The 14,500-nt window shown below is 34.6% G+C and overlaps 1 protein-coding gene and 1 long non-coding RNA gene across 10 annotated transcripts in view; one reads left to right on the top strand and one right to left on the bottom strand.

Moving 5' to 3' along the window:
- Positions 1 to 14,500, top strand: part of CDH18 (cadherin 18) — a 1,104,418-nt gene that overhangs the window by 275,380 nt on the left and 814,538 nt on the right. The gene's annotated exons all lie outside the window — the stretch shown is intronic.
- On the bottom strand, positions 7,786 to 9,354 carry LOC124900948 (uncharacterized). Its single transcript, XR_007058708.1, has 3 exons — positions 9,211 to 9,354; positions 8,240 to 8,360; positions 7,786 to 7,856 (listed from the first exon to the last, which is right to left on the bottom strand). It is a non-coding gene; the product is annotated as an uncharacterized LOC124900948 (long non-coding RNA).

Genomic DNA, 14,500 nt, shown 5'->3' with positions numbered 1-14,500 from the left:
ACACACACACACACACACACACACACACACGCACACACACAACTTAATCTATGTGGAAATGTTTGGCTCAGATCCTGTTGCGTTGTCCTGTTATATATTCAGTTTGAGCAAAATTGGGGAGAATCAGATCTCTACTGACCACTAAGGAGCTCTCAAACTTCCTTCCTCTTTAAACTAAGATTTTGCTCCACTAAGAGGAAAGATTACAGGATATTTTTCAGCATTGTGTCGCAGACTTGATTTTTTTTTAAGTGTCACACTGCAAATATATTTTAAAAAAATATTTCTTCACCATTTTGAAAAATGAACTGCAATCCTCGACAGTTATTTGATTTTATCAATTCATGTGGAATGGTCCTGTCTTGCTAAATCCTATTTATAGAACAACACATTTCTATTTACTTTCCCTACATAAAGATACCTTAACCTGCAATATATTTGATCTAAAATATGTCCCAGCTTCCTTCTTGACTATTTGCAAAACTAAGGTTCTTGGGTTATTATTTTATAATGAGAAATATTGAGCCATAAGCACAAGTATTCCACTTCTGAATATTCTTTTTTTTTTTTTTTTTTGAGACAGAGCCTTGCTCTGTCACCCAGGCTGGAGTACAGTGGTGCGATCTTGGCTCACTGCAACCTCTGACTCCCGGGTTCAGCAATTCTTCTGCCTCAGCCTCCAGAGTAGCTGGGACTACAGGCATGCACCACCACGCCCGGCTAATTTTTGTATTTTTAGTAGAGACGGGGTTTCACCATATTGGCCAGGCCGGTCTCGAACTTCTGACCTTGTGATCTGCCTGCATCGGGCTCCCAAAGTGCTGGAATTACAGACATCTGTTCTATGCCTTCTTGTGAAGAAACCTGCTGGAATGACTCATTTTGTGTGTGTGTGTGTGTGTGTGTGTGTGTGTGTGTGTGTGTGTGTGTAGCTAATGTTGATGATTTGGGGCTTTTAAGTTTAGGAAATCTACTCCTCTCTTCTAGTTACTTGGATCAAAATGGCTTGCAATAATTACTGACATTTCTATTTTGATGACAAACCACATCCATTTTGTGCAGAATTCAACCATGTTTTTATGCTCAGCTTTCCAACCAGTTAAGCCACTTTATGTCTCACTTTCATCTGTGCTCACCTCCTAATAGACCTCCATGTTCCCCTCAAATCTTATCAACAGAGAGGTTATTGTGACTCATTTAAACTAGCCTCAGACCAAGTTACACCCTCTTCAAAATTAGTTGAGGTTTCCCATCTCAGAGAAAAACTTAAAATCTGTTCTATGATTCATAATTCTTTACATTGCGTTTTTCCAACCGTCATGCCTATGTTTTTTATTTTATCTCCTATATCTCCCCATCTTACTCTACTCCTCATTCTTGTGAAACATTAAGATGTCTCTGTCTAGGTGTCTTTGTGCGCATTGTTCTCTTTCTAAAAATGCTTTCTTCTTATCCAAATGTTTTTTTTCTTCAGTTCTTCAGTCTCCAGCATAACTAACGTTTCACCTTCTCAGACATTTTCAATTCCCTTCATGTATGTATCAATGTATCTTACCTCATAATTTAATGGTTATTAGATTTTATTTTTTTGTTTCTTGCCAGAGTTTAGGACATATGTTTCTCTGTTTTAATTACTGCTTTATCTTTGGAACAGTACCTGGTATAGTGTAATATAAACTCAATAAATACATATTGAGTGAATTAAACCTGGTTATTCACATTTTTGAATTCCAAGGATATTAACCCTATTTTGAGAGCCAAAGTCGTATCTATGTAGTCTCCATTTTGTCTTTTAAATTTGAGATGCAATATCTTTATATTATTCTCAATGAGTTAATTATGAGGAATAAGATAACTTGCTCAGTGAATAGACAACTTCCCCAAAGGAAGGATTATCAATCAACTCTTGTAAAACTTAAATTTTTGAAATTCCTTTACCGGTCTCGATTTTAGTAGCAGTCACTAAAAATTAAGTTGGGGTTTCTTCCATCACTCTCTGTTGCACCGTAAGTTACCTAAGTTAATATAATTCATTTACTTATTGATCAGGGCATGATAAAAACAAAATTATAATTTTTTGAGTTTTAATTTTCTATAATTTTTGCTTTTTATATGCAATTTACTGGGAAATTTTACAAAAGAGATAGATAGTTTGCTTTTTTTTCCCTATGCAAAAAGTTAAAGAAAGGTCTTGGTTCTGCCCACGCAAACACTTCAATGGAGAGGTAAGTTGGTTTTTTAGACAGGCAAGTTCCCTTTTTTCTATTTTTCTAAGGTGGAAAAAAGTCTTACGGCTAGTTAGTTCAAGTGAAAATAGAATAATGGGGGGTATAATAAGTCGGCAAGACAGATGCCTTCCGGTTACTTATCAGAATAAAAGTATTACAGGTATTGTCAAGTAGCATAATGTTCAACCTATTACCACACAGTTATTTTCAAATATTTGACTGAGAGGAAACTACTTCTGGAGGACAGGCAGAAGAGAACTCTCTTATTTTATACTTCATTCTGTAATATGAAGTACAACCTCAGCAAGAGCATCAGAGTGGGGTTCATTTGGATCACACTATCCCCCTAACTTAAAGCCCTAACAATTTTTTTTCTTAGAAATGTGCTTTGCCGTTGCTTATAGTGAAAGATGTTATAAGAAAAAGTGACATTTGGCACTAGTTATTTCACCATAAAAGTACTGTCGACAAATTGTATATTTAGCAGCATCCAGTTTATGGGGACTCAAGAGATAAAGCTTTTTATGGCCTTGGTGATTCTGCTCCACAACTTGCCTTTTTTCATATTTTGGACATTGTGACTCATTAAATTGATTTTGTTTCTTTCGTTGCATAGGCTACAATGAAAATTAAAGCCAAAGCCATGATCCTTCTGTAAGAAAATGGTTGAAATAATATGTATTGGTTGAGTTTATGCTTTGGTGTCAGACTTGCTGAATTCAAAAGCAACTTTTCCCACTTGCTTGCAGCAAGACATTAGATAGTGACTTGGCCTCAATGTGTCAATTTCCTTTTCTTAAGTGAGGAAGGCTAGTTCGTTCAGAGGGAGGCTGCTATGACTATATGCAGCAATTCAGAAGAATGCTTAAAATCATGCATGAAAAGTAGAAAGAAAGGGGAAAAACCTATAGGATCATTTTCATGATTTTTATATACTAACATTTTTAATTTAGTAAAATATTATAATTCCATTTTTACCTTGGCCTGTTTTATATTATGTATTTAAATATATGTTAAGTATTTTCTGGAAAAGAACACATTAAATTATTTCTAGTTAGATCGGAGATAGATAAAACATAATAAAGTAGATATAAATGGAAGTATATCTATCTCAGAATAAATATAAAATAAATTTACAGTTAATAATAATTAAGTACTTATTTATGTAACAGAATCTGTATTGAGTAACATAGACTTATATGCTTACACTAATAATCTGAAGAATTTCTTTATTCATTTATTTCACTTTAAGCAAAATAGTGAATATCGAAATATCATAGTAATATTATTTTTTCAAACCAGGAAAGACTCACAATGGTTTCTAGAATTATATATCAGGTTCAAAATATTTAAAATGTGTATAAAATTTTAATTACATTTAATATTTTACAATATAATTAAGTAAAAATGATATATTACATATATTATAAACTGTAGTTTACTTATAGCATAGTTTACTAGATTATAACTGTACATTTAAGGTAAAAGAAATTGATTGCTTTTTTGAGGTGTTTTAGTAACATATAATACTATAAAAACTTAGTGGGCCGGGGGCGGTGGCTCACGCCTGTAATCCCAGCACTTTGGGAGGCTGAAGCGGGCAGATCACGAGGTCAGGAGATCGAGACCACCCTGGCTAACACGGTGAAACCCCGTCTCTACTAAAAATACAAAAAATTATCCAGGCGTGGTGGCGGGCGCCTGTAGTCCCAGCTACTCAGGAGGCTGAGGCAGGAGGGCAGGAGAATGGCCTGAACCCCGGAGGTGGAGCTTGCAGTGAGTCGAGATGGCGCCACTGCACTCCAGCCTGGGCAACAGAGTGAGACTCCCTCTCAAAAAAAAAACAAAAAACAAAAACAAACAAACAAAAAAAAACCTTAGTGGAAGTATGTGAATTTGTGGCATTATAATAATCCATTATGAAAATTTGTCGGCCAGGCGCGATGGCTGACACCTGCAATCCCAGCACTTTGGGAGGCTGAGGCGGGCGAATCACGAGGTCAGCTGTTCAAGACCAGGCTGGCCAACGTGGCGAAACCCCGTCTCTACTAAAAATACAAAAAATAATTAGCCAGGCATGGTGGCATGTGCCTGGAATCCCAGTTACTCGGGAGGCTGAGGCAGGAGAATCGTTTGAACCCGGGAGACAGAGGTTGCAGTGAGCCGAGATTGCGCCACTGCACTCCAGCCTGGATGACAAGAGTGAGACTCCGTCTCAAAAAAAAAAAAAAAAGAAAAAAAAGAAAGAAAATAAAATAAAATGTCTGCAGATTGATCTTTCTTATCAAGCTTGAGTATATATGTAAAGAAAATAATTCGCTTTGAAAATAAACATATATACAATCAAATCTTATGCTTTCTTAGAATTTTTTTTTTTTTGAGACAGAGTCTCGACCTGTCGCCGAGGCTAGAGTGCAGTGGCACAACCTTGGCTCACTGCAACGTCCACCTCCTGGGTTCAAGTGATTCTCCTGCCTTAGCCTCCCGAGTAGCCGGGACTACAGGTGCACGCCACCATGCCCAACTAATTTTTGTATTTTTAGTAGAGACGGGGTTTCACCATATTGGCCAGGACGGTCTTGATCTCTTGACCTCGTGATCCACCCTCCTCGGCCTCCCAAAGCGCTGGGACTACAGGCGTGAGCCACTGTGCCTGGCCTCTTAGAATTCCTGTGCAATTGATAACCATCTGGAAAAGTGTTTGATAATCATTTTCTTTTCAATCTCCATTGTCTCATTGTCTGCTAAGGGTCTACTGCCTTTCTTCCTATCAAAATTTGTCCGGTTGATTCCTGCCATGATTATCTAAGGCAGTATTATAGCTGGCTCCCAGAGATGTGAAGGTCTATGGTATTAGACTGTTATATACAATTAGATGCAAAACAATATAAAATCACAAAACTTCTTGGTTTTTATTGATGCTATTCCTGATGTTCTAAGATAATTACATACAATGTTCAAAGTACATTTCAGTGTATATCTGTGCCATTTTTTATCTTAAAACAGTGGAGAAAACTAGCCCTGTGGAAACTTTAATTGTGACATTTAAATTATTATACTTTTATTTTCTAAATTATACTTGTCTGATTAATTTTTTATTAAGTAAAATTACCCACACAGATTTCAAAGTTCACTCTGAATAGCTCACACATTAATCATGTACCACATCTAACCTGAAATCAAAGCCTTTAAGTGACTATACTGAGTCAATATTTACTATCAGAATTTTTGAACAATGAAAATATATATGTAAGTATATGTATGTGTGTATATATATATGTAGGAAAATAGTTAATGTAGCTGAAGTAAACACACAAGCAAAAACACTTCAAATTACTTATTTTTTAATTTTGTAAACCATGCTACACAGAAGGATGTGGTACAGCTTACAGAAAGTATGTACTGTAGAAAACCTTAAGACAAGGTAAGATTAGGAACCTTGGGAAATACAAATGGGACAAAAAGATTAAGTCAAGACAAACAGTTTGAATATTGTTATCACTTTAAATGAAACAATATAGTATGGTATAAATTTTGTAATCTGCTTTCCTCATTACTGCGATATGTCCTCACAAAGAAATCAAAATCAATGTTTACCATTACATCTAACTATAAGATGAGGAAACATTCCCTTAGCCTCCCATCTTACCAGCTCTCCTTTGAGGGGAAATCAAATGAAAACCCACCAATCGCATTAACAAACAGCATATATTTGTGGCACACAGTGCTTGGTTGATAGACATTATTGCTTTCCTGTTACGGGCTAACAGGATCCATTAATTCACATTTGAGGCTTAATCATGTGCAAGGAAAATGGAAAAAATATTTGATAATGACCTTTTATGGGCTGTTGGTTGTAACACTGCTTACTTATTAAACAAAGTAACTACTTTGGGTAATTAAGAGGATGAAGAAGTGGGCATTGAAATGCTTTCGTAAGTGTTCCCTTAACCGTACTAAAAACTCACATATGGAAAAGATTAAAGGTGGTAAATATTAGGCCTCAGTGCAACTTCTGTTTACTATGACCAACAGTGTATATAAATCATCCATTCTATTATTTAACAAGCAGTACATATTCATTAAAATATTTATTGGGGTCCTATTAGTTTCCACTTAAGAGAAAGTAAACAGAAAAAATTAAAAAATGCCTACGTACATCAGTGAAATTAAACCTGCCCCAAATACTATAAATCAACCAACAGTACACTTCTATCCTATTTACACCTCTATCCTGTTTACACTCGTTTCAGGTTTTAATGTTTCCTGTGGTTTTTACATGTTGAGCTTCATATTTTATAATACACTATTTGTATAATAGAAAACTCATCAAAAGAAGTGAATTATCTAAATTAACTTTCAAAAGCATCGGTTATGCCAAAAAGTAATACTGTTTTACCATTTTTATTCATGTGTATAAATATCTCAAGCTCCTTTCTAAAATTGGTTGGTGATGCATGTGTAATTTTAATTCATGCATTAATCTCTACTTATTTGTTCTTGAATAAGATACAATAATTTTCCTCATGAAACATTAAATTCTAAATACCCCAAATAAAGTGCAATCATCTTGAGTTTTAGTTATACATCTACTTTTCCATGTTGGACAATTTTTCTCATCTTTCAACACAATCTTCTTTTCTTTTCTTTTTTTATTCAGCACTTATCTCTTCCTTATTAACACATTTATACCTTCCTTATGACATTTTCTTTCCTGTACTATTGTCTCTTATCCATTCCACTAGCACCACTCTGAACAGTTTTTGTTTTTGTTTTGTTTTGTTTTTTTGAGATGGAGTCTTACTCTGTCACCAAGGCTGGAGTGCAATGGCGTGATCTCAGCTCACTGCAAACTCCGCCTCCTGGGTTCAAGCAATTCTCCTGCCTCAGCCTCCCAAGAAGCTGAGATTACAGGTGCCCACTACCACTCTCGGATAATTTTTGTATTTTTAGTAGAGACAGAGTTTCACTATATTGGCCAGTGTGGTCTTGAACTCCTGACCTTAGGTGATCAGCCCTCCTCGGCCTCCCAAAGTGCTGGGATTACAGGCGTGAGCCACCGCACCTGGCCTCACTCTGAACAGTTTTAACACAAGAGTTAACAGCTGTTATAGGTTGAGTTGTGTCCCCTAAAAGATATGTTGAAACCCTAACCCCTAGTACCTGTGAATGAAACCTTATTTGGAAATAAGGTATCTGCAGTTATATCAAGTTATGATGAAGTCAGCAGGTAGTCCTTAGTCCTACATGACTGGTGTCCTTGTAAGAAGAGTAGAGAAACAGAAAGTAACACACACACAGGGAAGATGATATGAAGACATATAGGAAGAAGAATGCCATGTGATGATTGAGGCAGAGAACAGAGTGACGCTTCTATAAGACAAGTAATCTCAAGAATTGATAGCAAAACCAGGAGCTAGAAAAAAAAAGCATGGAACACGTTCTCCTCCCATGTCCTTCACAAAGACATGGCACTGCTGGCAATTTGAAATCAGACTCTGGCCTCCAGAACTGTGGAGAATACATGTCTGTCTTCAAGCAATCCAGTTTGTGGTTCCTTGTTTTATGGCAGCTAATATAACTGCATTGGCCTCCTCCTCAGCATCTCCAACCACAACACACAGAGCCCTTCAAAAATAATGACAAGTGAAAGTGAAGATAATTTCACCACAACTTTAGTAGGGCATTCTGGACACTCAGCTATCATTCTCTTTATCTTTGACCAAAGGCATTTCTCTCCTTTATTTCTCTACTTCAGCAGCTCTCTATCCTCAAATCCAATTACTTTTTGCTAAAAGCAAAACAGCAGTGTTTCTCAATCTCAGAAATTGAACCATCAAGTGAAAACTTACTGTCTCTCAATTTACCCACATTCATTGTCATGTCCCGGTCTTACAGCTAACAGACATAAAAAATAAGATAAAAACACCTCTCCTTTACTGCCAATAGCGAATGCCTTCATCCATGTTCTGAATATCATTCTTACATTGCATCAGCATCCAAATTCTTACCTTTGCAAATGGTTCATTACTGACCCAGGTGTGCTCAGCCGAGGAGGCCACTTAAAGCTTCAGAGAGTTTCTGAGTCAAAGAGCTCACAAAATTGGACATGATGACATGACAGAGGAGAGGCTAGGAAGGAAATTACGGGAAAGAGGTCAAAACTCTGAGGTGAATCAGAGTAAGCATTAAGACCACAAAAGCCAGTAGGGCCAGAGGAGACATTCTGAATTTAAGAAGTTTCTCTATGGTAAAGTAAATAAAATAAAGGCAGTTTAGGATCAATGGGTGCCTGGAAAAATTGCTTTGGACCTACTCTTGTAACATTGATATTTAAACCTTTAATTATATAACCTTTCCAGAAACTATGTCCTTTTCCTTTCTGATGACTCAATTTGACCTTGAGTAAACCTGTTTAAAATCCTATCTTTGAAAATCTATTCCCTGACAAGAGATCTAAACAAAACACATCTCATGTTGGTTACTGTTCATGTTCCTTCTAGAATGTGCCTTTCTATACAGCCAAGTGACTTCCTTTCATTTCTCAACCTGTGGAAATATTCTTTCTGCTTCCACTGCTCTGCTGAACTGATTTTCTCCTCATGCTGCAATGGTCTTTATATTGCCAATTTCATTTCCGTTTTTGGTTCTTACATTTCCTAAATCATACCTAATCTTTTTATACATGGTTCCCCACCATCACCCTTAAGACCATTCATCATTCACTTTAACTGTCTCTTTTCCTTTTTTGTTGTTGTTCCACAGACCGACTCTCTTAGTCTTCATTTCTGGCTGTCAATTTCTCTGAGAGTTAACATCTATTTTTATGGGATCAACTATCATCTATTTGCTAATAGATCTCAATTGAATATTTTTAACCCAGAATTTTATACTCAATTAAAAACTCTTTGATTCACTATTTCCCAGGAAATTTCAAACTTGGCATGCTCCAACCTAAATGTATCTTCACTCAAGAATATACCTTATTCTATATTACATATTTTATTCATGACATGAATAAATATCTCTGGAAGCCATATTTTCTGCTTCATTCTTATAATCACTCTCATATTTAAGACCATGGGTACATTTTTCCCTTGTCCATTTCAATATTTTTTACATTAGAACCTTTGCATCCAGTTTTGCCCCTTTAAATCAGCCTAAATTCTGCTCCAGCACTGGAATCTTAACACATCACCACCCTATTTCTAAGTTCTCAATGACTCCCATAGCAACATAGAACCAGGCTTCATAGAATGACATACCATGCCACAATGTTCTGGACCTAGTCCACACTTCCACCTTCTGCCTCCTTCTTCCATTTGCTATTTCGTTTTTAGCCATCCTGAGCTACTATTCTGTTTTCCAAATGAGCCATGCTTCCTCATGCTGTCATGGCTTTGAACATATCACCTTTGCTTGGACTGTCTTCCGAATCAAGCATTTTTCACTGGATCATATCGTACAACCAGAATGCTTGTCAGGATGTGGCTCAAATATTATTATCCTGGAAATTACTTTAGTCTCTGTAGGTTTGAAGTATTTTAATTTGGGAACCTGTATTTCTATAGTTCATTCTTTGAGGTATGCAAAGGTAGGGATTATGCTTTATTCACTTTTGTGATCTCAGCACTTAGCCTAGGTCCAAGACTACATCAGGCATTTAAATATTTGTTGAATAGATGTTGCCATCTCTGATCTTCCCCACCTCTAATCTTCACACACATTTCTAGCTGCACAGGTACATAAGCATTAGCAACATACTCATTCTACTGCATAAGAAGCATGCCTGTTTTGATGCTAGCTGTGTGTGTTGAGCAGTGATTCTCAAGCATTAATGCATAGAAGGATTTCCTGGAGAGCTTGCTAAAACACTTAAATTGAGACCACCCCAAGAGGTTCTGATTCAGTAGGTCAGATGGGGCTCAGAGAGTCCTAACAAGCTCATAGATGCTTCTGTTCTGATGGTAGCAGTATAACCTTTGGGAACCACTGCTGTAGAATGCACTTGACAGGGAAGGAAGGTATTATTTCTCCCTGCCTTTGGGAAATAGTCAGGAAGCACATCTAAAGTGCCTTTGTGTGATTATGTTACTTCTACCATTTTTCAAATTCCAGATTTATATTTGTTAATTACAACAGTTTTTGTGGGCAAAGTAGTGATATTAACAACAAAACTAAGCGATTAGGTTATGAAAACAGACACAGCTATCTACATATTTCTGTCTACAACATTCTCTTTGCCTTGTTCTTTTGAATGTATTTCAGTTTTTTGCCTCTGGTGACCCTATTGACAGATATGTATTAAATCTGTAGTTTAATGTGTATCTGATCTTCAGTGTTTTCCTTAATCGTACTGTTACTGCTACAACAAATTTAAATGTAAGCAATTAAAATATATATTTTAATATATATTTTCTTCTAAGATTTTATTTGTTGCAGCTAGAAACTAAGTTCTATAATTTACATATTTTTACACTTATTTCATTAATGAGGAAACTGAGATTCATTAAGAAAGATATTGACTGTGGTCCTAGGGTTAGAAAGTCCCAAAATTGGCACTAAATATTTAGTCTGTCACCTAGTGTAGTGCACTTTCAAATACATAACCCATCAGACACAACAGATACCCATGAAAATTTACAATAGTTAAAGTGGCCACAAGTCACTGCTGAAAATACCACTCTTAGTGACAATATTTGTAGGTATGAGGAATAAAGCTTTTATAGCTAAACTTTTCTAGGTCAGGTTTTAGCTCTATGATTAACTACTAATTGTATGTCTTTGGGAGAGTGAGTTAACATTTAATAATTATCTAACAACTGTCATTTCATAATTCTCATTTGTAAAGCAGAAATAAGGATGTTTTGAATATTAAATGAGTTACTATATATTTTAAAGAAGAAGTGAGCTAATATACATTTAATACCATATTGGATCCTTGATTATGGCTTTAGTGTGGAATAAAGACTAGCCAAAAATGGGTAAATATGAGTAGAAAAGAGGTTAATTAATTGGGACAATAATCTAATGCCACTGATTATTCAGTAGGATTCAGAAAGAATTTGACATGATCCAGGTACCATGACAAAAGAATCCAAAGAATTCTTACTACATTGCTAAAAATAACATCACAATTCGTTAAAAGTCTAATTAAAATTCCAAAAATAGTTGATTTCTAGAAAAATAGTTCAGATTAAGAAATGTGAAGAATTATTTTTTGAAATATATCTTAACTGTAGGTATTTTAAAAATATAAAAGTTTCACAAATTTTCATTCTGCTGAAATACAATCTGTACTATTTCATTTCAAGTGTAAAGGGATATGCCGTCTGCCTGTGCATGTTACGTGTGTGTGTGCATGTAAGTGTACAGTTTTCTTGTGGCTCTGAATAAAGCGAATTGACTATCACAAGAAAGGATCTATTATGATCAAATTAAATGTTTCCTCTTCTTATCACTCTTCGTTGGTTTGATGGTTTGTTCTTTATTTGTTAGGTATCCCTTTCCTGGCAGTCAAATTATTTTGATGTCATGAATTACCAACTTCTGTACCAGAAAATAATAGTGGAGATTTGCTAGACTTACAATAAAAATCATAAAACATCTGATGATCAGGAAGAAAAGTAATGGCTCAATGCATATATATATATATATATATCGTATTTTTTGAAGCCACTAGAAACTAAATACATCACTTTTTTGCATCACTGGTCACATTTCTTACTCTGAAATTAAAAGGGACATGCTAGTATTTTATTAAGTAATTTGACTCCAACTAAACCTTTCTCACCATATTTTTATCTTGTACATTCACTTTTTCCAGACATGCTCAAATTGTCATAAATGATTTCTATTAGAGTTAAGGATTTCAGTCATCTGAGAAGATGCAGTGCAGTGAGATTCTGCCTCTGAATTGGTAACAGTTAATTCTTTTTATATTGCAAAGTAGATTCTTGCAGAAAGGAATTTATGCCTTCATTTTCTATGTAGGTTGCATGGCATTTGGTCCACAGTGACAAAAAAAAAATGACCCCAGAATATCTGCAGTATATTTTGCTGAATGTTAACAGCAGGTTCAGATGTGTTTCATTTCTGACCTTGTAAAATGCTTTCTTGATTATGCAACGCTTTATACATCAAATACAAAAACTGCTACGAGGGCTTCAGCTGCTTGAACAAGGATAAATTTGAGAAAATAAATAAATGTTGTTCAGGTCAGTTTCAATGAAGCCATTTTTCTTCTATTATTCCATGGCATGAGTGATGCATGATATATTTGATTACATTTTAAATGTGATACCGAGAAGTCACAACGTTGATTTGTTTCACATGAATGCTTCTTGGTCTATAGTGCTAAAAAATAAATCATTCAAGTTATCTAACCAGCTAATGTTTTCAATTGGATTTACAGAATATTGTTTCTATTATTGTTATCAGCTCATCATGATTCAATGTATGTGTGTATGTGTTGCTAGCATATCATTAGAGTTGAAAATTCTAGTATCAAACATTTTAAACCTCAGCAAAATTCTAAGGCTGTGAGCTTTTAATATTTGTTTACTATTTGATAAATGTGTAATGCTTAATTTGAGAAGATATTTAGATTTCTAGTAGATGGAGGAAAGTTTTAGATTATCTTTGAAACTTATATAGAAACAGAAAAGTTATGAAATATCAAATCTTAGGAACCTATGGAAAAAGGAGGCACAATATTATCCTTCAATTTAAATTTGAATAAATATATATTTAAAACACTCTATGCCTAACATTCTAAAGTATATGACTCAGTATGTGATTGATTCTGACCTAAGGATGACAGATTAGACCATTGATTCTGGATCAATTCCAATTAAGATATAATAGATGACATGCTTTCTTTAAGTATTATTTCATAGTAATGGTTAGTGAAATATTCTACAAATGTAAAACATTATACCTGCTAATGCACCACTTTGTCTAATACAGATATCAATCCACTTAGGCATAGAATAACAGTTCATGCACGAAAATGATAAGCCAATATTTCCAAAAAGAAACTTAAGAGTCCAAATTAGCAGTGAGGTATTGGGATGTGATTTTGATAATTTAAGTTTGAAAGGAATATACTCAATTTAAGTGGAGGAAAAAAAGGTACTCAAAACAACTATTTTCTAGGTTATAGAATTTAGAAATAATTAAATATGCAGGTTGAAACTTTGTGATAAATTTTGTGATGCAGGTGAATGACTTTTATTTTACTCAATCACTGTGCTCAGTGCAAAGCTCTTGCAGTATCTGTTCAGGGAGTACACAGTATCCCCTTAACAGTTTCAATGAGCTGGATCATAAACTTAGTCACCATAGATGAAGGCAGGAAATAAAGAAATACTTTATAAGTTTGCTGAGTCACTTCTCTCTCTGGAATCCCAGGGCAGTGACTGATGCTCAGATGAAAATGCAGTAGATCTAGAACATTTTGTTAGCATAGGTCACATGAGCAAAAGTTTAATAAACACCATTACTGAGTATTTTTTCAACCTGGAATCCCCAAGAAAATAAGTATAAATTCCTCTAAAATAAAATAGCTCCAAGTACCAAGGTCTATATTTTATGTATGAAAAATTTCCACTTCAATATCATATGTTCTTTTTGCAATTAAAATATATGCATGATGGTAATTTAAATTACTACTATCATTGTACTTTTTATCACAATAGAAATCAGTATTTTCAATACAGCAAACATATAAGTGGTTATTATTTAGCTATTATTATAAGTAGCAGCTAATCATATGTATATCTTATTTAAAAATACTACTGCTATGTGTAACAAATCACCTAACTAAATGTTAATCTTAAATGTCTCCATTAAAGTTAAGGTTTTCATTTTTAATTTCATTAAAAGTTTCATTCTTAATTTTAGAAAGGAATATATTAAAAATCCATTGAAATCCTATTTAAAATATTATCTTGCTGAATTTATTTGGGCAAGGTATTCTAATAATAATAATGAGAATTATCCATTATCTATTTGTTCTCTCCGTAGCATAAACTTTTATCCAAAGCAAATATTTTTCACACTTGTTGAGCTTTTCCTTAAAAAAAATGAGCCTTTGTTTTGTTTAAAAGAAAATATGTTGCTGACAGTAAAACACTGATAGTATCACAGAAACTAACTAAAGATATGCAGAACAGGTCTTTAATTTTTTAAAAATAAATTTAACCTACATACAGAAAAGTAGAACAAAAACTCCCACTTTTACTTAGGGCACTCAAATAGCAAATATTATA

This window comes from Homo sapiens, chromosome 5 (genome assembly GCF_000001405.40).
Source record: "Homo sapiens chromosome 5, GRCh38.p14 Primary Assembly".
NCBI classification, from domain to species: domain Eukaryota; kingdom Metazoa; phylum Chordata; class Mammalia; order Primates; family Hominidae; genus Homo; species Homo sapiens.
The sequence above is the reverse complement of the archived record's forward strand: the minus strand, read 5'-3'. Positions and strand labels throughout refer to the sequence as shown.